The sequence below is a fragment of the Homo sapiens genome, chromosome 4, assembly GCF_000001405.40.
Source record: "Homo sapiens chromosome 4, GRCh38.p14 Primary Assembly".
In the NCBI taxonomy this organism is placed as follows: Eukaryota; Metazoa; Chordata; class Mammalia; order Primates; family Hominidae; genus Homo; species Homo sapiens.
The window spans coordinates 108,985,442-109,012,320 of NC_000004.12; the positions used below are offsets into that span (position 1 = coordinate 108,985,442).

Here is a 26,879-nt window from a genome sequence, read left to right on the forward strand (position 1 = left end):
TTGGGCATAGAAAGGAAGTTGAATTGCAGGACAGAAGGGGAGGTAGCAGAATAGACGTCATATTTTTACGGTCTGTTTTGGGAAAAATAAACATGAGTTGAAATACATACTGATCTTGGGGACATTTCTTTCCATTAGGAAGCAGAAAGCTAAACTATGGGAAGGAAAACTGCTGAGCCAGTCCTCAAGGCATAAGAGAGGAGTTATCTCTGGTGAAACTAAAACCAAATAAACTGGAGTTTTGGGAAGATGGGGTTGACAAAACCTGTAAACATTCAGATTGCCCAAGTTTGTGTCTAAACCTTTTTTGTTTTTTACTCTACTTCCCTCATTAGCTATGAAATATATACCCTTAAGGCTATAACTATTACCTGACTTATGTCCTAAATTCTTTTTCAAGCTGCAATCCTGCATTCTCAAGTGGTCACCAGATGTATAAGCCAACATATACTATCATCAGCTCAAATTCAACATTCTCAAACCAAATTTCTCAATTTCTGTTGCAAGCCATTCATGATTCTTGACTTTCCTATTTTTCCTATTTTTGTTAAACACAGTACTGCTCCTCCAAGCCTAAAAGCTGAGTATTATATTTGATTCACTTAACTTAATCTATTGCCAAGTCCTATAGATTTCATTTTCCACAAAATCCCTTGAATCTATGGCCATCTTTTCATGTTTGTTGCACCCTTATTCCTGGATAACTGGAATAATCTACAAGCCTCTGTTGGCCTTACCTCTTCTACTCCATCCTACATACTTTTGTCAGATTAATTTTTCTAAAGCACATTGCTGAGCATATCATTCCTCAGCTCAAAGAACTTCAGGGGCCCATTTTGTAATCTACAATGAAAAAGTTGCCATAGACAACAATCTTCAATAGATGTATTTGGTGAAAGGTTGCTGGGTATCAGGTCAACATACCTTGACCTCCTGATCAACCAAACTTTGTGTACTTCTTGATATAATGAACTAAGAATTGTACTATACATTTATTACAGGTTTTCCTAAAAATTGAGCCAAACCTACTCAATCTTCTGAATGTAACCTGTAGTTTAAATAAAACAGAGAACATAGGGGAACAAGTTAAATAATACCAAAAGGAAGTAATTAGACAAATCCAGAATGTGGGACACTCTAAATATATAATAAATGTCCTAGAAAAACTGATTTCATGAAACAATAAGGGGAAGGAAGACCACTATAGAATAAGAAAGACTGAAGAGTTTTAATAATTAAATGCCAAGTGCAGGCTTTGGGTCTTGGTTCTAACAAAACATCTGTAAAAAGACATTTTTGAGACAATTGGTGAAATTTAAATATGGACTGAGTGTTGATATTAAGAAATTACTGGTAATTTTATTAGGGTTGATGATAAAATGGTGGTTATGTTTTCCAAAGCCTCTATCAGTTAGAGATTCATATTTCAGTATTTGTAAATATAACAACATAATATCTAAGCTTTGCTTTAAAATATACCAGCAAAAACTAAACAAAACAAAATAAATGAGAGGAAAGGGATTCATAAAAGTAAGATTAGCAATTGATGTTTCTTGAGGCTGGGTGATAGGTCTAGGTCAATTTATGATACTATTTTCTCCTCCTTTTGAGAATCTTTGAACATTCCCATAGTAGTTATATAATTTAAAAATTTATTTTACAATGCTCTTCCCATTCATGCCAAATAAAGCATTAACTTCTACCTGTGTCCAAAGCCTTCTATAACCTGCTCCTAATTTTCCTTTTCTGCCTTATCTTCCCCAATTCTCCACAAGGAGCCTCTCCTCCAGCCTGTCTTCAATACCATCTATTCTCAAAATGACCCTCTGTCTTCTCACTCTCTCTATCTTTACTTACGTCCTTCTTTCTCCTGAATAAACATTATCAATTGTCATTTTGCTTGGAATAGTTACAGCATACCTTTCTTTTTTTTTCTTTTTCTTTTTTTTTTTGAGATGGAGTCTCGCTCTGTCGCCCAGGCTGGAGTGCAGTGGCATGATCTCTGCTCACTGCAACCTCCGCCTCCCGGGTTCAGGCAATTCTCTGCCTCAGCCTGCCGGGTAGCCGGGATTACAGATGCCCACCACCATGCCTGGCTAATTTTTTGTATTTTTAGTAGAGACGGGGTTTCACCATCTTGGCCAGGCTGATCTTGAACTCCTGACCTCGTGATCCACCCGCCTCTGCGTCCCAAAGTGCTGGGATTACACAGGTGAGCCACCGCGCCCGGCCGTGCATACCTTTCTTAAACGTCTTACCTGGAAGCCTGAGCTATGAAGCTACTTGGAAAAACAAAAACAAAAAAAAACCATAGACTTTTGAGTTTCTGGAAGAAAATTTTGTTTTTGCAGTACAGTCCCATCTCCACCTCCCCCATAAGCTCACAATCTCTATAGCAATCATTGATGACTCATCTCCATGATCTCGCTCCCCAAAGCATTACCAGACTATCCTTTGAATATGTCCTTTCCTTATTTCTGAACTCCTAAAACACTTGTGTCACTTTTATGAAACTTAGCTCACCCTGCTGGGAATAAGATTTGTTTCTTAATAACATACCAGGGCCCTTGAGGGTAGGAAAAGAGGTACATGGGGAAACATAACAAACACCGACTTTGGAGGCTTTAATATATACTACCACGTGACCTTTGGCAAATGACTTAACCTCTCTGAGCCTCAGTTTCCACATCTGTAACCTAGAGCAAAGAATAATTACCTCATATGCAAGTTGTAGAAAGTAATTAAAAGAATGCAGGTTTTTCTGTAAATATTACTTCCACTCCCTTTCTCTCAAATGTGTAGCTTTGTGCCTTATACATGGTAAATATCCAATAAATACATTAGCATATTTTCTGCAACAAAGGCCTTTAACAATACATCGGGACCAAAATTAGTATTTTCTGAATAGCCTGATAGCAATAAAAAAGACACAGATATCTGTGTATCCAACATGCTTCCAATGAGTGCTTATGAGGATAGAGTTCAACTAGAAATTGTGCCTTTTGGGGTGACTACAATTTCTCATGTGTCGACTCATGACACTAAGTCAGGAGAGTTAATAGAAGAAAGAATAAAAACTTTGCACAGTCTCCTGGAGAGGAAATGAACAGTATTCAATGAAATGTTTTTCTCATATCTCAAACACAGGCATACATTTTTGGCTCCTGTTTCCCTCCTCCCTGTGACTTCAAAGTTTTAAAAAGAATTATTCTGTTTTTACTCCCCCCACATTTTCAATAACGAGTCACTCCTGAAACCATGGCAAATGCTGCACTGAAAACCACCAGGCTACTGAAGTTACTGAATAACTTTCTACTTGCAAACCCAGTAACATTTCACATGCTCACCATTTCTCCCTTAGCTTCACTGGCAACACTTTTCCTCTGGGTCTTCGACTAATGGGGCTTTCTCAATTTCCTTCCCTGGACCTTTCCGTCTTCTGCAATTCATAATTAACCCTACCCTCATTTCTGTCTTTTCTTCCCCTCTACACACTCTCTGGGGATCCCCTTTATTTCCACAGTGTCAGCTACTACTTGTCCACTCTATCCCACTGTGGCCTCTCTCCAGGACTCTGCCTACTGACCACTCTACATCTGCTCCTGGATGTCCTATTCTCATCTCAGATCATTATGTTCACCACAAAGACTTGGTAGTTTTCTTCTGAGTAAACTGCATGCACTTTATTCAGGGTCCTGCTGGCCCAAATTGGGACTGGATCAGTTAGAGGAGGCTTCCATCCAGATGAAGCTCGCTGCCAGGCTCCCAGCTAGGCAAGTGGAGCAGAAGCTGGATTTCAAACTGTGCCTGCCCCTTGGCTGAGCTGCTTTGTGCAGTGCACAGTGTGCACAAATGTCAATGGTGGTGCTGAGCTTATTGCAAGTAGTAATGTTTCCTTCACAAATGAAAAATTCTACTATGTTTATTTTTTTTCAAGTAGCCCCATAGCTTAGGTTGCCACGTAAGAAGTTTCAAGGAAGGTGTGCTATAACTCTTCTAAGCAAAATGATAATTGATGATATTTACTTGACTATATCAATTAAGGATACATCAGCTTTGACTTGTCTTCAATTCTGCGTATTTTTTATTAAAATAAAATTTACTAATTTTGAATTACTATGATCAATTCTGCCTGATTTAAGAGTTCCAATAATTAGCACTGGATATACTGATCATTTGGAGAGACAAAATACAAACCTTAAAGTGTATAGGCTAACATTAACTTGGTGAAAGATTAGACTCTGCTACACTCACTGTGCTAACCAGATTTAAGCATGCCCTACCCAAAAGAGAGAAAACAGAACAACATGTTTCTGGAACTGTTTTTCTAACTACTATCATATAGCATTCCCCATTTTAATCTCTCTACTATCCAAAAAATAAGTATATATTTAAAATGTGATATCAGTTGAAATGTCTGAAGATGCTTAGAGAGAAAATAAAATTAGCCTATCAAGAATTTTGGCTAGGATATAAAAATTACCAAATACGCCGGGCGCAGTGGCTTACTCCCGTAATGCCAACACTTTGGGATGCCAAGGCAGGTGGATCACTTGGGGTCAGGAGTTTGAGACCAGCCTGCACAACATGGTAAAACCCCGTCTCTACTAAAAATACCAAAAATTAGCCAGGTATAGTGGCGGGGCTGTAATCTCAGCTACTCAGAAGGCTGAGACAGGAGAATCGCTTGAATCCGGGAGGCAGAGGTTGCAGTGAGCTGAGATCACACCATTGCACTCCAGCCTGGGCAACAAGAGCAAAACTCCATCTCAAAAAAAAAAAAAAAAAAAAAAAAAAAATATATATATATATATATATATATATATATATATCTCAAAAGAATCGATAAAAATATATATGTGAAATTATATCTACAGAAATAATATACATCACAAAATTTAAAAGTAAAATTTTTAAAGTCTGAAATATTTCAAAGTGAATTAATCTTACTTCACTGAAGAACATTTTGAACTAAAACTTTGCTCTCTTTAAAGAAAATTATACATACCGTGTGCACATAAATGTTTATTTACATAGAGGGTCTTATGCTATAACCATATCTAACAGTGATAGTTGCTCCATTATTTCTTAACTTTAATATTGAATTATTTATCCCAAAAAATCTATCTACTTTGAGGTTATTATTATATTAAGTGTTTATCCAGCAAGTAAAGTACCACCTCTAAGGGCAATATCAAGTCATTATGGCTCTATCTCAGTATGAGTGCTTATGTGAGAAGGTATATATGTGGGTGTTTACATGTGCATAAATATGCCTTTACTAATAACAGTTATATATGTGTGCCAGTACACTGTTTTAAGTGCTTCATTAGGTCACATATTAAGTTAAACCAGCTATTTTCATTTTACATTGAAAAACTGAAGGAAAAAAGTTAACTTGTCCAAAGTCATACAGCTCATAAGTGGTAGGCCACAACTTAAACCCAGGTACCTACCCCTGGAGCCCATACCCTTCACCCTGTATGTGTTTCATTTGCTATTGTACAACCAGACTGCTAAAAGCTGATATTTTCAGTAGGCTCAGAATTTCATCATCAAATGCATATAAAATTATCATTAAATCTGAATGATTAAATATGTACATTTATTTAACAGAAATTTATTGTGCATTTTCTATAGCTCAGTATTGTATAAAGATGCAGTAATGAGTAAATTCAGGGAGTGATAACAGCTTCCACAGATGCAAAACATTGTTGGACTAAGTTAATTATTCATGAAATGCTACGTGTTATTTACCTTTATTCAGGCAGAATTGAGAGGAATATATTAGAAAACATAGCATAAAGTAGGCAATAGAAATTCTTCAGCTAATTTCAGTGAGAAAAATTCTAAGATAAAATTAAACTCTGAGATGATACTACACCATTTAAATACACAAATGATCATGTTAAAAACAATGAAATATGGATTATAGTAAAATAAATAAGCCGTTATACCATGTGTACTCTTAAAGACATAAACTATCTGGAGTACAATGGAGTTTTTCATATCATATTAACCATCTGCTTCATAAAACATCAAAAATTCTAATATATTAAGACTTTTATTATCATTCTCTTTATAATGCAACCACCACATAAAATAATATAACAGAAAATGATAATACTTTGCAAGTCTAGCATGATTTCTTTAGGATAGACTACATTCTTAGTTTAATATGACAGTTCTGTTGTGTAGTGAGCAAAATACTTTCTGCACACACATGCACACATATGCATGCAAAGGCACACGCTTTTTGAATTTCTTGGAGAATGTATATTTACTTCCACTCCCCGCCCCCAAGTCAGGCTATATGATCTGAAAAAGGCTGGATTGGAACACACACATGAAATATGGGAATTTCTAAAGTGTTAGGTTAGAAAGAGCTTAGTATATAATTAAAAACATATGAATAGAAAGTTAAATACTGCCCCAAAATATAATATTTTATTCAGGAATAATTCCTTTTTAAGGCACACACAGCTTGAGTTTTGTAAATTTTAGTAAAATACTGTGAAATGAAATTAATAATTAGAACACACACACAGAAGGAAGCAAAGAAAGATTTGGGGGAAAAGGCAAAGTGACATCCTCCACTTCTTTTCAAGAGCATCTGAAAAAGTACAAATGGCAGCCTCAAGCCCCTGTGTGCAGTTGTCCGATGGTACTTGCTTGTGGTTTCTCTCACATTTTTTTCTCACTGAGTAATACAGAATTACAACACGCATAACACTTTACTCCTCCAAATTCCTAAGGCAATTATATCTCCTTTATGTTCATGAAACTCCAAAAGAGAGTTATGAGGCTTTGAAACTAACAATTTTATGCGAAAGAAATGGTCTTAGTGTTGAAGGCCATTAATACAATGTCCTACTATTTCACTATCCTCTGTTGAAGATACTGATGGGGTTATTTGGGCCAAAGTCATGGTCAATAGATCTTTGTAAAGAATACAGGATAGAATCCTGAGAAAGTTTTAAAATATAACTAGCTTCTACAATTTGTATAAAAGTCTTTATTAGTGGAAGAATATTGATATCTAAGGAATGTGTGGTTATACACAACCACCATGAACTATTTTCTATGATAGTCCCAAGAAAGCCAAGCCTCAGACCCCACAAATAAATTGTTACAAAATAAAATAACATAACATAAGTATGGCCCTGGGTTAGTACTGTTTATTTTCACCAAAGATTAAATATCAATGTAAATAAACTACCATAATGAAGGAAACAAAGGTATCCACACTCCAAACCATGTGGACGCAAGTTATTGAAACTGCTAAGTGTTCAGTAAAATCTCAGGGCTTAGGAACCTCAGAGATGTCATTTAAATGGCACTATTTATGACACATGATATTACTGACTAGGTCATTATATTTTGTTTGTTTTGTTTTTTTTTTGTTCTTATTATTCTATTTTTAATTGACAGAGAAAATTATATGTATTCTGAGTCTCAAGTCAAGGCTAAATGAAATAAAAATTATATGCATTTTTCATGTACAACATGATGTTCAGAAGTATATATACATTGTAGAATGACCAAGTCTAGCTAAATAACATATGCATTACCTGACATGGTTATCATGTTGTGGTGAGAACACTTAACATCCAATCTTAGCATTTTCCAAGAATACAGTATATTGTTATTAACTGTAGTCACCATGTTGTACCATAGATTTCTTAAACTTATTCCTCCTAGCTGGAATTTTGTATCCTTTGAACAACATCATCCCACACTCCCACCCCAAACCCTGCCATCTGCTGATAACTGCCATTCTACCCTCTGCTTCTGTAAGATCAACATTTTTTGATTCCACATACGCATGAGAACACGAGGTATTTATCTTTCTGTGCCTGGCTTATTTCACTTAGCATAATGTCTTCCAGGTTCATCCATGTTGTTGCAAATGACAGGATTTCCTTCTCTTTTTAAGGCTGAATAGTATTCGGTTGTGTAAACATACCACATTTTCTTTATCCATTCATCCACAATGGGCTAGGGCACTTCCAATTCTAAAAAGCTAATAGTTTTCTCTTTCCCTCAACCTCCTTTTCCTAAAGCACTCATATGTACCATTTACAACTCAATAATAGTTGTTAAACTTCCACCATGTGCAAGAAAATAAATTAGGTAAGCTGGGTGCGGTGACTCACGCCTGTAATCCCAGCACTTTGGGAGGCTGAGGAGGGTGGATCACCTGAGGTCAGGAGTTTGAGACTAGCCTGGCCAACATCATGAAACCCCATCTCTACTAAAAATACAAAAATTAGCTGGGCGTGGTGGTAGGTTCCTGTAATCCCAGCTACTCCAGAGGCTGAGGCAGGAGAACTGCTTGAACCCGGGAGGCAGAGGTTGCAGTGAGCCAAGATTGTGCCATTGCACTCCAGCCTGGGCAGTAAGAGTGAAACTCCATCTCAAAAAAAAAAAAACAAGAAATTAGGTGTTGTGGGGGATACTAACAGTGAAAGAAAGCATAGATCCTGCCTTTGAAGATCAGAAAATCTATCACGAAAGAGAGAAAAGAGGCAGAGGGGAGGTCGCTTCCAAGATGGCCAAATAGGAACAGCTCTGGTCTGCAACTCCCAGCAAGATTGACACAGAAGACAGATGATTTCTGCATTTCCAACTGAGGTACCTGGTTCATCTCACTGGGACTGGTTGGGCAGTGGGTGCAGCCCACAGAGGGCTACCTGAAGCAGGGAGGGGCATCGCCTCATCCAGGAAACTCAAGGGGTCGGGGGATTTCCCTTTCCTAGCCAAGGGAAGCCGTGACAGACTGCACCTGGAGAAACGGTACATTCCTGACCAAATAGTGTACTTTTCCCACAGTCTTAACAACTGGCAGAACAGAAGATACTCTCCCGTGCCTGGTGCAGTGGGTCCCATGCCCATGGAGCCTTGCTCACTGCTAGCGCAGAAGTCTGAGATTGACCTGCGAGGCTGCAGCTTGATGGGGGGAGGGGCGTCCACCATTGCTGAGGCTTGAGTAGCTCACAGTGTAAACAAAGTGGCTGGGAAGCACCAAATGGGCAGAGCCCACTGCGGTCAGCAAGGCCTACTGCCTCTATAGATTCTACCTCTGTGGGCAGGGCATAGGAGAACAAAAGGCAGCAGACAGCTTCTACAGACTTAAATGTCCCTGTCTGACAGCTCTGAAGAGAGCAGTGGTTCTCTCAGAACGACGTTCAAGCTCTGAGAAGGGACAGACTGCTGCCTCAAGCGGGTCCCTGACCCCCGTGTACCTGACTGGGAAATATCTCCCAGTAGGGGCCGACAGACACCTCATACAGGCGGGTGCCCCTCTGGGACAAAGCTTCCAGAGGAAGGATCAGGCAGCAATATTTGCTGTTCTGCAGCCTCCGCTAGTGATACCCAGGCAAACAGGGTCTGGAGTGGACCTCCAGCAAACTCCAACAGACCTGCAGCTGAGGGGCCTGTTAGAAGGAAAACTAACAAACAGAAAGGAATAGCATCAACATCAACAAAAAGGACATCCACACCAAAACCTCATCTCTAGGTCACCAACATCAAAGACCAAAGGTAGATAAAACCACAAAGATGGGAAGAAACCAGAGCAGAAAAGCTGAAAATTCAAAAAAACAGAGTGCCTCTTCTCCTCCAAAGGATCACAGCTGGTCACCAACAAGGCAACAAAACTGGATGGAGAATGAGTTTGACGAGTTAACAGAAGTAGGCTTCAGAAGGTTGGTAATAACAAACTTCTCCGAGCTGAAGGAGCATATTTTAACCCGTTACAAGGAAGCTAAAAACCTTGACAAAAGGTTAGATGAATGGCTAACTAGAATAACCAGTGTAGAGAAGAGCTTAAATGACCTGATGGAGCTGAAAACCATGGCACAAGAACTTCGTGACACGTGCACAAGCTTCAATAGTCGATTCAATCAAGTGGAAGAAAGGATATCAGTGATTGAAGATCAAATTAATGAAATAAAGTGAGAAGACAAGATTAGAGAAAAAAGAGTGAAAAGAAATGAACAAAGCCTCCAGGAAATATGGGACTATGTGAAAAGACCAAATATGTATTTGATTGGTGTACCAGAAAGTGACGGGGAGAATGGAACCAAATTAGAAAACACTCTTCAGGATGTTATTCAGGAGAACCTCCCCAACCTAGCAAGGCAGGCCAACATTCAAATTCAGGAAATAATTGAACACCACAAAGAAACTCCTCGAGAAGAGCAACTCCAAGACACCTAATTGTCAGATTCACCAAGGTTGAAATGAACGAAAAAATGTTAAGGGCAGCCAGAGAGAAAGGTCAGGTTACCCACAAAGGGAAGCCCATCAGACTAACAGTGGATCTCTCGGCAGAAACCCTATAAGCCAGAAGAGAGTGGGGGCCAATATTCAACATTCTTAAAGAAAAGAATTTTCAACCCAGAATCTCATGTCCAGCCAAAATAAGCTTCATAAGTGAAGGAGAAATAAAATCCCTTACAAACAAGGAAATGCTGAGAGATTTTGTCACCACCAGGCCTGCCTTACAAAAGCTCCTGAAGGAAGCACTAAATATGGAAAGGAACAACCGGTACCAGCCACTGCAAAAACACGACAAACTGTAAAGACCATCGATGCTAGGAAGAAACTGCATCAACTAACGGGCAAAATAACCAGCTAACATCATAATGACAAGATCAAATTCACACATAAAAATATTAACCTTAAATGTAAATGGGCTAAATGCCCTAATTAAAAGACACAGACTGGCAAATTGGATAAAGAGTCAGGACCCATCGGTGTGCTGTATTCATGAGACCCATCTCACATGCAAAGACACATAGGCTCAAAATAAAGGGATGGAGGAAGATCTACCAAGCAAATGGGAAAAAAAAAAAAAAAAAAAAAGGAGGGGTTGCAATCCTGGTCTCTGATAAGACAGACTTTAAAACAACAAAGATCAAAAGAGACAAGGCCATTACATAATGGTAAAGGGATTAATGCAACATGAAGAGCTAACTATCCTAAACATATATGCACCCAATAGAGGAGCACCCAGATTCATAAAGCACATCCTTAGAGACCTACAAAGAGACTTAGACTCCCACACAATGATAATGGGAGATTTTAACACCCCACTGTCAATATTAGACAGATCAACAAGACAGAAGGTTAACAAGGATACCCAGGACGTGAACTCAGCTCTGGATCAAGTAGACCTAATAGAAAGACATCTACAGAACTCTACAACCCAAATCAACAGAATATGCATTCTTCTCAGCACCACATCGTACTTATTCCAAAATTAACCACATAATTGATACTAAAACACTCCTCAGCAAATGTAAAAGAACAGAAATCACAACAAGCTGTCTCTCAGACCACAGTGCAATCAAATTAGAACTCAGGATTAAGAAACTCACTCAAAACCACAGAACTACATGGAAACTGAACAACCTGCTCCTGAATGACTACTGGGTAAACAACGAAATGAAGGCAGAAATAAAGATGTTCTTTGAAACCAATGAGAACAAAGACACGATGTACCAGAATCACTGGGACACATTTAAAGCAGTGTGTAGAGGGAAATTTATAGCACCAAATGCCCACAAGAGAAAGCAGGAAAAACCTAAAATTGACACCCTAACATCACAATTAAAAGAACTAGAGAAACAAGAGCAAACAAATTCAAAGGCTACCAGAAGGCAAGAAATAACTAAGATCAGAGCAGAACTGAAGGAGATAGAGACACAAAAAACCCTTCAAATAAATCAATGAATCCAGGAGCTGTTTTTTTGAAAAGATCAACAAAATAGACCACTAGCAAGACTAATAAAGAAGAAAAGAGAGAAGAATCAAATAGATGCAATAAAAAATGATAAAGGGGATATCACAACTGATCCCACAGAAATACAAACTACCATCAGAGAATACTATAAACACCTCTATGCAAATAAACTAGAAAATCTAGAAGAAATGGATAAATTCCTGGATACTTACAACCTCCCAAAACTAAACCAGGAAGAAGCTGAATCTCTGAATAGACCAATAACAGGCTCTGAAATTGAGACAATAATTAATAGCCTACCAACCAAAAAAAGTCCAAGACCAGACGAATTCACAGCCGAATTCTACCAGAGGTACAAAGAGGAGCTGGTGCCATTCCTTCTGAAACTATTTCAATCAATAGAAAAAGAGGGAATCCTCCCTAACTCATTTTATGAGGCTAGCATCATCCTGATACCAAAGCCTGGTAGAGACACAACAAAAAAAGAGAATTTTAGGCCAATATACCTGATGAACATCAATGCAAAAATCTTTAATAAAATACTGGCAAACAGAATTTAGCAGCACCTCAAAAAGCTTATCCACCATGATCAAGTCAGCTTCATTCCTGGGATGCAAGGCTTGTTCAACATACACAAATCAATACACATAATCCATCAAGTAAACAGAACCAATGACAAAAACCACATGATTATCTCAATTGATGCAGAAAAGGCTTTAGACAAAATTCAACAGCCCTTCATGCTAAAAACTCTCAATAAACTAGGTATTAATGGAATGTATCTCAAAATAATAAGAGATATTTATGACAAACCCACAGGCAATATCATACTGAATGGGCAAAAACTGGAAGCATTCCCTTTGAAAACTGGCACAAGACAAGAATGCCCCCTCTCACCATTCCCAATCAACATAGTGTTGGAAGTACTGTCCAGGGCAATCAGGCAAGAGAAAGAAATAAAGGGTTTTGAATTAGGAAAAGAGGAAGTCAAATTGTCTCTGCAGATGTTTCTAAGTTGTATATTTAGAAAACCCCATCGTCTCAGCCCCAAATTTCCTTAAGCTGATAAGCAACTTCAGCAAAGTCTCAGGATACAAAATCAATGTGCAAAAATCACAAGCATTCCTATACACCAATAATAGAGAGCCAAATCATGAGTGAACTCCCATTCACAATTGCTACAAAGAGAATAAAATACCTAGAAATCCAACTTACAAGGGATGTGAAGGACCTCTTCAAGGAGAACTACAAACCACTGTTCAATGAAATAAAAGATGACACAAACAAATGGAAAAACATTCCATGCTCATGGATAGGAAGAATCAATATCATGAAAATGGCCAACCTGCCCAAGGTAATTTATAGATTCAATGCTATCCCCATCAGGCTACCAATGACTTTCTTCACAGAACTGGAAAAAACTACTTTAAACTTCATATGGAATAAAAAAAGGCCTGCATAGCCAAGACAATCCTAAGCAAAAAGAACAAAGCTGGAGGCAACATGCTACCTGACTTCAAACTATACTACAAGGCTACAGTAACCAAAACAGCATGGTACTGGTACCAAAACAGATATATAGACCAATGGAACAGAACAGAGGCCTCAGAAATAACACCACACATCTACAACCCTCTGATCTTTGACAAGCCTGACAAAAACAAGCAATGGGGAAAGGATTCCCTATTTAATAAATGGTGCTGGGAAAACTGGCTAGCCATATGTTGAAAGCTGAAACTGGATCCCTTCTTTACACCATATACAAAAATTAACTTAAGATGGATAAAAGACTTAAATGTAAGACCTAACATCATAAAAATGCTAGAAGAAAACCTAAGCAATACCATTGAGGACATAGGCATGGGCAAAAAGTTCATGACTAAAACACCAAAAGCAATGGCAACAAAAGCCAAAATTGACAAATGGGATCTAATTAAACTAAAGAGCTTCTGCACAGCAAAAGAAACTATCATCAGAGTGAACAGGTAACCTAAAGAATGGGACAAAATCTTTGCAATCTATCCATCTGACAAAGGGCTAATATCCAGAATCTACAAAAAACTTACACAAATTTGCAAGAAAAAAACAAACAACCCCATCAAAAAGTGGGCAAAGGATATGAACAGACACTTCTCAAAAGAAGACATTTATGCAGCCAACAGACATATGAAAAAATGGTCATCATCACTGGTCATTAGAGAAATGCAAATCAAAACCACAATGAGATACCATCTCACACCAGTTAGAATGGCAATAATTAAAAAGTCAGGAAACAACAGATTCTGGAGAGGATGTAGAGAAATAGGAATGCTTTTACACTGTTGGTTGGACTGTAAACTAGTTCAACCATTGTGGAAGACAGTGTGGCGATTCCTCAAGGATCTAGAACTAGAAATACCATTTGACCCAGCAATCCCATTACTGGGTATATACCCAAAGGATTATAAATCATGCTACTATAAAGACACATGCACACGTATGTTTATTACGGCACTATTCACAATAGCAAAGACTTGGACCCAACACAAATGTCCATCAGTGATAGACTGGATTAAGAAAATGTGGCACATATATACCATGGAATACTATGCAGCCATAAAAAAGGATGAGTTCATGTCCTTTGCAGGCACATGGATGAAGCTGGAAACCATCATTCTCAGCAAACTATCACAAGGACAGAAAACCAAACACCACATGTTCTCACTCGTAGGTGGGAGATGAACAACAAGAACACATGGACACAGGGCAGAGAACATCACACACCGGGGCCTGTTGTGGGGTGGGGGCCTGGGGGAGGGATATCATTAGGAGAAATACCTAATGTAAATGACAAGTTGATGAGTATATCAAACTAACATGGCACATGTATACCTATGTAACAAACCTGCACATTGTACACATGTGCCCTAGAACTTAAAGTATAACAATAAAAAAAAGCTCTGCAAAAAAAAGAGAGAAAGGAAAAAAGTGTTCATGAATAATTATAATACAATTTAAAGAGGAAACTGGAGGAAGGAAATTAATATTCACTGAGTGATTGCTATGGACTAGGCACCACATTAGACATCTTACATATATTATTTCAGTCCTCACACTGTTGAGATAAGACATAATTATCTCTGCTGTACAGATGAGGAAAATGAGACTAGCGTGATTGAGTAACTTGCCAAAGATAGATAGTTTGTCAGTGGTAAAGCTGGGATTTGAATTATGTAATCTGTCTGACCAAAGTCCATGCCCCTCTATTTTAATTGTAAAGTGTTATATAAAAAGTGCCAGACTTGGTGGCTCATGCCTGTAATCCCAGCACTTTGGGAGGCTGAGGCAGGAGGATCACCTGAGGTCAGGAGTTTGAGACCAGCCTGGCCAACATGGTGAAGCCCCATCTCTACTAAAGATACAAAAATTAGCTGGGCATGATGGCACAAACCTGTAATCCCAGCTACTCAGGAGGCTGAGGCAGGAGAATAATTTTAACCCCGGAGGCAAAGGTTGCAGTGAGCCGATATTGTGCCACTGCACTCCAGCCTGGGCAACAGAGTGAGACTCTGTCAAAAAAAAAAAAAAAAAAAAAAAAAGAAAAAACTATACACATAACACTTTGTCAGGATTCAGAAAAAGGGAGAAATTACATTTAGTTAAGGGAGAGTAAAGACTTCTTAATAGAAGAAGCAGCATTCAAATACGAAGGGGTATCCTATTTGGATGTGTGGAAACTGAGTGTGTCTAAGGATTCGGAGGAAAGGCTACTGGAAGAAAAGGCAAAAAGAAAAAGAAGATTTGAAGAGAAAAGAAGTAAATGGTTTGATTTGGTTTGGTGAAGCATAGTCTAGAAAGGGCATTAATGAAAAATTAATGGGAGATTAGGCTAGAAAACAGGCCAGATAAGAGGATTTGAATGTCAAGCAAGAATCTAGATTCTATTGTATTCTAAATGAAAACCATTAAGACTCAAGGTTTTGAGGTCAGAAGAGTGACATAATCAGAACTATGATATATAATTGTATTAGGATACTAGTGGTTGATAGTACACTCAATCCTAAATGCCTGCACTACAGATACAGAAAAAAAGCTAACTACTCACTTTCCTGACTTGCCTCCCTGCAGCAATGAGTGGCCAGACAACAGGCATATCTTCGCAGCGTGCAGAATGGCAATGGGGAAACCACAGTTAAAAGAAACAGGCATCTGAGATCCTGTCAGGTAGGCATCTGAGATCCTGTCAGGTAGGCAGTGAGCTAGAGGGTTTTAACTGTTCAGTCTGCCATTGGCAAAGCTGCACAAAGTATTAGTACTGTGACTTGAATACCTGTCAGTAATGAGGAAAGGGAAAGGAGAACTGGGATGAAGAGTATAAGGTAGAAAGGGAATGCAGAGTTGAGGATCCAGGAAATGACTTAGTTCCAGAACAAGGGTTTTTGAATCTGAGCAGAAACTCAATTATCAGAGAACTAAGGCATGACTCTAGGACCATTCTTAGGATAACAGTATTGATCCTGAGTCACCTGCATGTTGGAAAAGGGCCTATTTAAATGCCTCATGTTTAAGGTCTCCATTGAACCTGGAGATTACCCAGATGTGCAGGTGGAGATTAGCCAGAGCAGGATTTGCAGGTGAGGTTAAAGTCATCCTTGGAAGGGATGGGTCTGAACATTTGAGAACTCTGACACTTTATAGACTATTATTGATAATATTAAAAGTACTATCACAAGAGATGTGACATTTTTCCAAAGAAGATATACCTAGGGCCAACAGGGATATGAAAAGGTGCTCCACATCACTAATCATCAAGGAAATGAAAATCAAACCATAGTGAGTTATCACCTCACACCTGTCAGAATGGCTATTGTAAAAAAGACAAAAGATAACAAGTGTTGGTAAGGATGTAGAGCAAAGGGAATCCTCGTACACGGTTGGTAGGGATGTCAATTAGTATAACCATCATGGAGAATTGTATAGAGGTTTCTCAAAAAATTAAAATAGAACTACTACCATAGGACCTAGCAATCCCACAGCTGGGTATATATCTGAAGGAAGTGAAATCAGTATGTTGAAGAGATATCTGCATGCACGTGTTCATTGCAGCATTTCTCACAATAGTCAAGATATGGAATCAACCTAAATGTCTATTAGCTGATGAACAGGTAAAGAAACTGTGGTATACATACACAATGGAATATTATTTAGCCACAAAAAAGACTACCCTGCCATTTGCAACAACATGGATAAACCTGGATGACATTGTGCTAAGTGAAATAAACCAGACACAGAAATATAAATATTTTATAATCTAATTTATATGTGAAATCTAAAGAGGTCAAACTCATAGAAGCATAGAACAAAGGCTGGAGGGTGGCAGAAATGGGGAGATGTTGGTAAAAGGGTACAAATTTTCAGTTACAAGATGAACAAGTTCTGAGGATTGAATATACAACATGGGTGGTGAAAAATACGTTAATTTGATTGTTATAATATTGCACAATGTATATGTATGTGAAATCATTACACTGTACATCTTGAGTATATTCAGTCTTTATTTGTCTACTAAGTAGTTTTAAATAAAAATATAGATACATTTTTTTTTTGTTTTACTTTAAGTTTTGGGATACATATGCAGAACTTGCAGGTTTGTTACACAGGTATGCATCTGCCATGGTGGTTTGCTGCACCTATCAACCCATTATCTAGGTTTTAAGCCCCGCATGCATTAGGTATTTGTCCTAATGCTCTCCCTCTCCTTGCCCCTGACCCCTGACAGGTTGCAGTGTGTGATGTTCCCCAACCTGTGTCCATGTGTTCTCATTGCTCAACTCCCACTTATGAGTGAGGACATGTGGTGAGGACATTTGCTTTTCTGCTCCTGTGTTAGTTTGCTGAGAATGATGGCTCCAAAAGCAATTGCAACAAAATCCAAAATTGACAAATGGGACCTAATTAAACTAAGAGCTTCTGCATAGCAAAAGAAACTATCATCAGAGTAAACAGGCAACCTACAGAATGGGAGAAAACTTTTGCAATCTATCCATCTGACAAAGGTTTAATATCCAGAATCTACATAGAACTTAAACAAATTTATACAATTTTTAAAATTAAAAAAACCAGAACTACCACAAGAACAGAGACTGGGTCTGCTTATCCACCACAATTACACTGCCTTATTGTGCCTTGCACATTGTACCTTATATATAGGGGCTAAATAATACTTGTTGAGTAGTTAATTGAATTATGTTAATATGAATTAATGAACAAATGTCAGGGTAACTTTCATTTCAATAAATTTAGCCTTACCCTTAAATAATTCTCATTACTTCTAGTTTGAAATATAAAAGGCCGGGCATGGTGGCTCACGCCTGTAATCCCAGCACTTCAGGAGGCCAAGGCAGGTGGATCACCTGAGGTCAGGAGTTCGAGACCAACCTGACCAACATGGTGAAACCCAGTCTCTACTAAAAATACAAAAGGTAGCCTGGCGTGGTGGCGGACGCCTATAATCCCAGCTACTCTGGAGGCTGACACATGAGAATAGTTTGAACCCGGGAGGCAGGGTTGCAGTGAGCCAAGATCGCGCCATTGCACTCCAGCCTGGGCAACAGAGCGAGACTCCATCTCAAAAACAAAAACAAAAACAAAAAAACGAAATATAAATGCTCATCTGCCTTTTCTTTCATTTCCCTTTCTTCTTTCTGCCTTTACCCTCTGTTGTTACTTGTTATTTTTCCAAGTTGCTGTGACATTATTTACTTTATTCCCTTTCTTTTCCTCTCCAAGAGTTTTATTTCCCTTGATTCAGGAGATTCACAGCAACATCCTCTCTCTTCATTTCCCTGGCCCTTTTTCCATCTTAACCACAGCTGTGAGAATTGCTTTTTTAATTTTTTTTCATTCTAATACCCTTTCACCATCTCATTTCCCTTGTCAAGAACCATTTTCTCACCCATTTAGGTAAATGCAAAGACTCACCTCTCTTCCCTAAGGTCTCCTTTCTTATTTAATTTCATCCTATGACTGTAAAAGAGTTTGTTGCCATTTAGCTTTCTAGTCCCAGCAATTCTTAACAATCTACGCTGTCTTCAGCTTTAGGAAGACGATCAGAACCACTCACTGAATAATAGACAGTTTCCCTTTTTACCATCAGTCTGCAAAATAAAACCTTAGTAATCTGGAAGGCTTTACAAAATAACATGTGATATAGAAGTAGAATTGAGGTTTGTGTTTTTTTTTTTTAACTCTCTAAGGAGGAGTTTTGCACTGTATAATATAAATACTATGAATAAGATGATGTGGGAACGACAGAGTTTGGATATTTGCCCCCGCCCAAATCTCTTGTTGAAATGTAATCCCTAGAGTTGGAGGTAGAGCCTGGTGGGAGGTGACTGGATCATGGGGGTGGATTTCTCATGAATGATTTAGCATCCTCTTGGTGCTGTCCTCAAGATAGTAAATTCTCACAAGATCTGGGTGTTGAAAAGTGTGTGGCACCTTCTCTCTCTCTCTCCTGCTTTTGCCATGTGACGTGCCTGCTCCCCCTTTGCCTTCCACTATGATTGTAAGCTTCCTAAGACTTCCCTAGAAGCTGAGCAGATGCCAGCACTATGCTTCCTGTAAAGCCTGCAGTACCGTGAGCCAGTTATATCTCTTCTGTTTATAAATTACCAGTTTCATGTATTTATTTATAACGATGCAAGAACAGCTTAACAAAGAGAATGTTCAGCCTATGCGAGACAATTCTCACTGATGTAAACATTTGCACGGGAAAAACAAGTTAATTACAATTCTGTCCAAGTCTTTTAATAAACTTTAAAGGATGCCCAATCCCTATATTAGTCCATTCTTGCACTGCTGTAAAGAAATACCTGAGACTAAGTAATTTACAAAGAAAACAGGCTTAACTGGCTCACAATTCTGCAGGCTGCACAGGAAGCATAGCAACTTCTGCTTCTGGGGGAGGCCTCAGGAAGCTTCCTTGCCAATCATGGTATAAGGCAAAGGGGGAGCCAGCACTTCACAAGGTCAGAGCAGCAGCAAGAGAGAGGTGGCAGGGAGTTGCTACACACATTTTTAAACAACTAGATCTTATGAGAACTAGTCAGAAGAACAGCACCAAGGTTGTGGTGCTAAACCATTCATGAAATATTCACCCCTATGATCCAATCACCTCCCATCAGGCCACACCTCCAACATTGGGAATTACAATTCACATGAGATTGAGTGGGAACACAGATCTAAACCATATCAATCCCCCAACTTAAACATTTACAACCCTTTTTTGGGGGAAGTATTTTGTTTGGAAACCTAATTAGATCTTCCTGTAGGAATCACAATATGAATATGGTTTATTTTCCCAGCCTAATCCACAAAAGCCTATTCCTAAAGTACCTAAAACATATCCCCATAGTATAATAGAAGTAGACCATTATTAGTAATAGTGTCTTAATGAAAAATCCATTGAAAGTCAGAAGTGTAGATTAGAAGAGTCTGAATGACACGGTCATGACTCAGACAGGGGTGGGAAATGTGGGTTTAAGGGTTGGCTAAGGGAGAATTTGTTTGTAGAAACCTTGCACAGATGACAAGCTGTCTTCCTTAACTAGCTGCAAAAGAAGACAGGGAGTGAAAGAAGAAGTTTTGCAGTGTCCATACCCTTCCATTTTCCCAGAGCTAACAGCATGTGCTAGGGAGACCCAGAGCTGGAGAGGAACAGAATTATCAGGCCAGTTATGTTGAATTGTACATAAATAACAAAAAACAAATTTTGACATTTTAGGTCAAAATCTTATAAAATCAAAGAAATCAAAAGGGTTGACATTTTAAGAAAAAAAGTAGGTATCATTTTGAGTCAACAAAAAGAAGAGGAAAAAAGAAAAAGAAGATAATCAAAATTTCAAGTTCCTGTTACTAGACATATACTGTATGTGAAAAGGATCATTTTCAGTGAGCCAAGTAAACAGAACATGGAAATTTTAAGAAAAATTTGATCAAATAAAAGAAAGCTTTCAACAACTTAAAAACCCATAACAAGCTTCTAATTTTGTGGGGGGGTGGCGGGTGGGTCTCACTCTGTTGCCCAGGCTGGAGTCCAGTGGAGCTATCTTGGCTCACTGCAACCTCCATCTCAGGTTCAAGCGGTTCTCCTGCCTCAGCCTCCCTAGTAGCTAGGGTTATAGGTGTGCACTGCCACACCCAGCTAATTTTTTTTTTTTTTTTTTTTTTTTTTTTTTTTGGTATTTTTAGGAGAGACAGGGTTTTACCATTTTGGCCAGGCTGGTCTCAAACACCTGACCTCAAGTGATCTGCCTGCCTTGGCCTCCCAAAGTGTTGGGATTACAGGTGTGAGCCACCGTGTTCAGTCTCTAATTTGGGTTTTAAATGCATATTACTTATTAATACACTGCATGTACCTTATAGATCTATGTTAAACAGATTTAATGTACAGTTTATGCAAATTTACTCAAAGAAAAAGTAGGCTCATAGTAAGGTGTTAATGTAAGATTTAATTTTATAAAATACAAAAACTCTGCTGCACATATTGATAATCAAATCTACTACATGTATCATTTCTAAGTGCTCATATTTATGATAGATAAAATTTGTTTTGTGGTTGAAAGCCTATTTAAGGAACAGAAAACCAAACACCGCATGTTCTCATTTATAAGTGGCAACTGACTGATGAGAACACATGGACTCATTGTGGGGAGCAACACACATTGGGCACCTGTGGGGGCTTGGGGGAAGAAAGAGCATCGGGAAGAATAGCTAATGGATTCTGGGCTTAATACCTGGGTGATCAGACGATCTGTGCTGTAAACCACCATGACACACGTTTACCTGTGTAACAAACCTGCACATCCTGCATATGTAACCCTGAACTTAAAATAAAAGTTGAAGATAAATAAAAATAAATAAAACCCATTTTGCTGAAGAGTAATTTTTAAAAAGTCAGTTTAAGGTCCACTTTTTTTGTAAAAGAAAATTTCCCAAGAGCAGAGCAGGGGTTAGGAAAGTAACACATTACAATAGGTAATGGGGAAAACAAAATATACAGATGGATAGGAGCCTATATAAAATTCATCTATAATTTTAAAAATATCAGAGAAAAGCTAATGACCATCAAGCACCAAATGCAAAACTTCATTAAGTGCTATTTAATTTCAAATCTAACAATGGAAGTATCATAAATATGAGCACTTAGAAATGATACATGTAGTAGATTTTGGAAAAATATTATGATAATGATGTAGGCATAAGAGGTAGGCCAGACTTTTCCTTGGGGACACAACAACAACTCTTCGCTCCTTTTTTGTGCTGTAGAAAGATCACGTGAGGGTATGTCTTGGCTTCACGTTTTCCCTAATACCTATCCTTCCTCAATTTATTGACTTCCTTTTGCTGTGATGTGAGGAAGACATTTTAAACTAAATGATCATGAGATTTCACATCCACTAAAGGCAAACTGGTAGCCAAAACAAAGGAAACCAGAGCAGGTTTCTAATGGGACCATTTGAAAATGCTGGTCCCAGCCTCCTTGCAAATTTTCAACATTTTCCAGCATAGGCAGTTAGGTAGACTATGTTTCTGCAGAGCCATAGTAAATATAGGACCTGATGTGAAGGTGTTCTGAAGTGCCATGATATACGTTCATTCTTAGCCACCATCATCCACGGTTCTCCTGGTCCTGTCCATTCTTGGTTTCCAGTGCTGGTTTATGATCTTTCTTCTGTTTATTAACTGTGGCTGTATACTCAAGATTTACTATGACTGTGTTTCTTTTTACAGTTACTCTCTTTAGTATCTTATTAACTACTATGCATTTAATGCTGCCTTTATATTTAATTTCCCAAGTCTTTCTATTCATATCTGAATTTTCTACTCTGTCTTGTCTATAAGACACGAGCACTTGGATGTTGTGGCAGATGTAGGTGCCTGCCCACCACTATCTGCTCCAAGACAGTGCTAGAATACAGGTCCCATATGTCCCTCTGGCTTCCTAAATTCCTTTCACAGCAGGCCAGGAGTGCTGAAAAGCCAACATCCAGCTGTGAACGTCAACAGTAAAGGCAGGGAACTTAGTGGATAAATCCATCAACTTCCTTGTCCCTCTTTGGGATGATTCTGGGACATGCTCTACATAGTCTCTCAAGATTCCTCAGCAGGATTGAGCCCCATTTGTCCACAGCAGAAACTTGCTAATTGAGGCATCCATTTTTTGGTTTTGTTGCCTTCCCTGTGTCATTTCTCCACTCTCTCACGATGCTTTCTAGGATCATCTCTCAAATAAGTTATTTATGCTCAAATTCTTAAGAAATGCTTTGGGATGTGGGAAAGAAGGTCCAGCTAAGACAGAGGTCCTATTAAAAATTAAAATATGTTAAAGATTACAATCTCTCAAAACCAACTCATCAACTTCTTTTATCATCTGCTGTCTCACCACCTTCTTTCAAGGGCTGAGCACTACAAGGTATGAGGGTTTTAGAGACAGACTTCAGTTAACCTCCCAGTTTATGGTGTCATTCATGTGAGTAATTTATCTCTTCTGTTTCTGTATGTTTATACACATACATGCGCGCGCACACACACACACACACACACGTAGGATAATAATACTTTCCAAGGCTGTTGTAAGCATCAAATAAAAGAAAGCATGCAAGCTGAGTACGGTGGCTTATGCCTGTAATCCCAGCATTTTGGGAGGCCAAGGTGGGTAGATCACCTGAGGTCAGGAGTGGAGTTCAAGACCAGCCTGGCCAACATGGTGAAACCTCATCTCCACTAAAAATACAAAAATTAGCCAGGCATGGTGGCAGGTGGCCTGTAATCCCAGCTACTTGGGTGGCTGAGACAGGAGAATCACTTGAACCCGGGAGGCGGAAGTTGCAGTGAGCCGAAACTGCACCATTGCACTCCAGCCTGGGCAACAGAGCAAGACTCCGTCTCAGAAAAAACAAAACAAAACAAAACAAAAAACAAAAGAAACTATGCGAAGCATCTTTTACTTTGTCTTCATTCCATTGTAATATGGCCATTTCAAATTTAGCAAACAAGCTATAACTTTCTTCCGTGGGTTTTATTCCATTAATAATTGCCTTGAACCAACATGGAATACAAGAGTGAAAATCACAAATAATGAGAATATAGGTATTTTCAGATATCAATATAAGTTAATTAAAAGTCAAAACTTTCTCATAAGCTTGGTGTGAAAAGAACTTGTTTACTGAAGTATGTGGAATGTTTTGCTTCATTAGACATCTATATACAGAGATCATAAAAAGCATAAATAATATTCTTATGATCTGGTATGAGGTGGAGTACACAATAGATAATTCATGATATTGACTACAAAACTATCATGAAAATGGCTTATTTGTGAAACAATCTAAGGCAGAAATAACATTCAGTACATCAAGGGTAAAGAGATGGAAGATGAGTTCAGTAAATAATTATATTATTTATAGGCACTACAGTATTAAAAGTAAAACATTAATAACTGCATTTTCTTCTCTATAGAATCCTAGGGATTATAATTAGTATTGATATTGAATTTGTTGTTTGTTGAGTTTCTCGTACTGACTTTTCATTTCTGAAAACTCACGTATTTTTTTGTATTTCCATCTTCATGCCACATTCCTCCCCTTCCTAAAATTTGCTCATTTTCTTCAATATGGGCTCAATAAGATTTTCTGTTGACCGCATTCATGCTTAATTATAAATCATGTCTTCGGCAGTTGTTTCTAAATTAAAAATTCAATATCTGTCTATAATGAATCAAAAGTAGCTAGTAGGATCACAGTCTAAATAATCAGAGTCTGCAGGGATTCACAACAACATTATTAGTACATGATTAATCAGTACATAATGCAAACCAGTTCATACTCGACTTTTATGTCATGCTGTCTTACATTACAGTCCTGTGGCACTGTTTCAGATCAGTTAAGAGTTTTGCTTTATATGATAGTACATTGTTAAATCTGCCATCTGGCCCAACAGCTGATGTGGCTCACACAACCCTGAAGAGGCCCCAAGGGTTTACTCCTGGGAAATATTTGGTCTACTGTGTGGTGTTGTGATTATCAGTTCATAGCTTTTTTATATCTTTTGAAAGAATTGCAGAAAGACCTCCACACTGGGAAAATCCTAAATTGAAAATAATTTGCTAGAAAAGAATTACCTTACCTGAGGACCAGGCTGTCCCTGAAATTAAAAAGAAAAAGAAAAACAATTACAAAATTGTATCCTAAGTGAATATTTTCACTACCAAAACTGAAACTAGTTCTGGAAATATTCACAAATATTTCTGAAGATAATATCCTAACTACTGACAGATTTCACTTGTGGCTTTAAAAAATCATATCACATCCTGCTAGTTTTACTTTATGCTATTTATCTAAAATCCTGATATTATAGTCTATTTAACTCCAAAATGACCCTAGGGTTTTAGCATGCTCTAAAATTTAATTGGAAAAAGAGAAGGCAGAAGGAATACCACACCTAGTATTACTGTGATGAAGGGGTTACTTAAAGAAAGAGTCTTGCAGCATAGGCTGTGAGCCCAAACTATGAGCTATTCAAAGCGCAGACTGTGAGCTACATATTCAAACATGACAGAGTTACGTTTTAAAAAAACAAAGGCAGATACTTTAGTGTTAGAGCTCATCAAGTCTCTTAACTTCTCATTATTTCAATAACATTTTAAGTTAATTTAAAAAATAAACCTTTATCTTTTATTCTGCATAACTGAGCCTAAGGACATTTTAAAAGGATATCAGAGGTCTTTGGATCATGCATCCTAACTCTTCACACAGTCAATGGATTATGTGACCTCTGTCCAATCTAATTTATTTTGAATGTCATTTTCTTATTTAAGCTGATCAAAAATTTCAAAGCAGTATAACTGTAAATGCTTCTAGCTAAAGATCAATCACCTGTGAATAAAAGTATGGATTTCATATCACCTTCTTAAAATCTCCAACTGGATTTTGTATCAGATGAGATTAAAGAAAATGTTCACACTGAGTTAAGAAATCTTAAAAAGTAAATAAATAATGTGTAGTGTCATTGTCTCAGCTGTGTGGCACCAAGTATCACACAGGAAAGTGTGGAGCTAATACAACTCCCAGAGAAGGCCCAGGAACTGTCTCTCTTAGCCTCTCTCCAGGCTTGCAATTTCCTTAGGTACTTGTTCTCTAACTCACTGGGGATAGAACAGATGATTTCCAAGAACTTTGCCTGAAAATGTAGTTGGCAGGTCAAACTAGGAAGGGGAGCCAAACCAAGTCACTGCAGATGTTACTCACCCCACTCCTGTACTCTCCAGTGGTGGAGAGAGAGAGAAAGAGAATAACATTTATTAATTCCTTACCAAGTGCCAGACACTTTGGGATATGCTATTATATTTATTTCTTATAACTGCCCTGAATTTTTCAGATGGAGAAACTGAGGCTCAGAGAAATAAGCTAAAGGTCACAACTTATATAAATTTATAGAAAAGCCAGAATTTAAACCCAAATCTGATTTTAAGGTTTATGCATTTTCTACCAGGTCACTCTGCCTTTCGGCCTAGAAGTTTAAGCTGACATTTACATACAGACTTGTTCAGATCAACTATGGTACAAGAGCATTCTTCAAGTGCTTAACACTCTCAACTTGCCAACCACTCCAGGACTGCCACAGCATGAATCTTTGCTTCCAGAAGCATACCTAGGACCAGTAGGCATTCCTACCTGCAACTGATACGTATACAGAAGCCAGTTCAGCAAAGCTTCTTGAGGGTAATAGCTCTAAAATCAGCACTAAACGTAGAGAAGATTTCTATGGAGACACTATGAAGGTTTTTTGTTTGTTCATTTGTTATAGGGTCTCACTCTGTTGCCCAGGCAGGAGTGTAGTGGCACAATCATGGCTCACCACAGTCTTGAACTCCCAGGCTCAAGTGATCCTTTGACTTCAGCCTCCCAAGTACCTGGGACTACAGGCACATGCCACTATGCCCCGCTAACTTTATTAAAAAAATTTTTTTGAGGTCTTGCTATGTTGCCTAGGCTGGCTACAAAGGTTTTCTCCCAAGAACCACTTATATGTAACTATGGATCTTTCCAGATCCATGTACTGGGTGAAATTGAGAGGTGACAACGTGCTA

General features: G+C 38.3%; 1 protein-coding gene across 10 annotated transcripts in view; it reads right to left on the reverse strand.

Annotated features, from left to right (window-relative positions):
- COL25A1 (collagen type XXV alpha 1 chain) overlaps positions 1–26,879 on the reverse strand; it is a 493,934-nt gene that overhangs the window by 176,717 nt on the left and 290,338 nt on the right. For 9 of the 10 annotated variants that reach the window (NR_045756.3, XM_011532335.3, XM_011532334.3 and 6 more), the window contains one exon: positions 24,917–24,934. The exons of the other annotated variant lie outside the window; for it this stretch is intronic. Coding sequence is in view for 8 of the 9 variants with exons in the window: in XM_011532335.3 (XP_011530637.1) it covers positions 24,917–24,934 (18 nt within the window). In the remaining variant the exon portion in view is untranslated. The remainder of the gene's footprint in view (positions 1–24,916; positions 24,935–26,879) is intronic. 10 annotated transcript variants of the gene reach the window in all.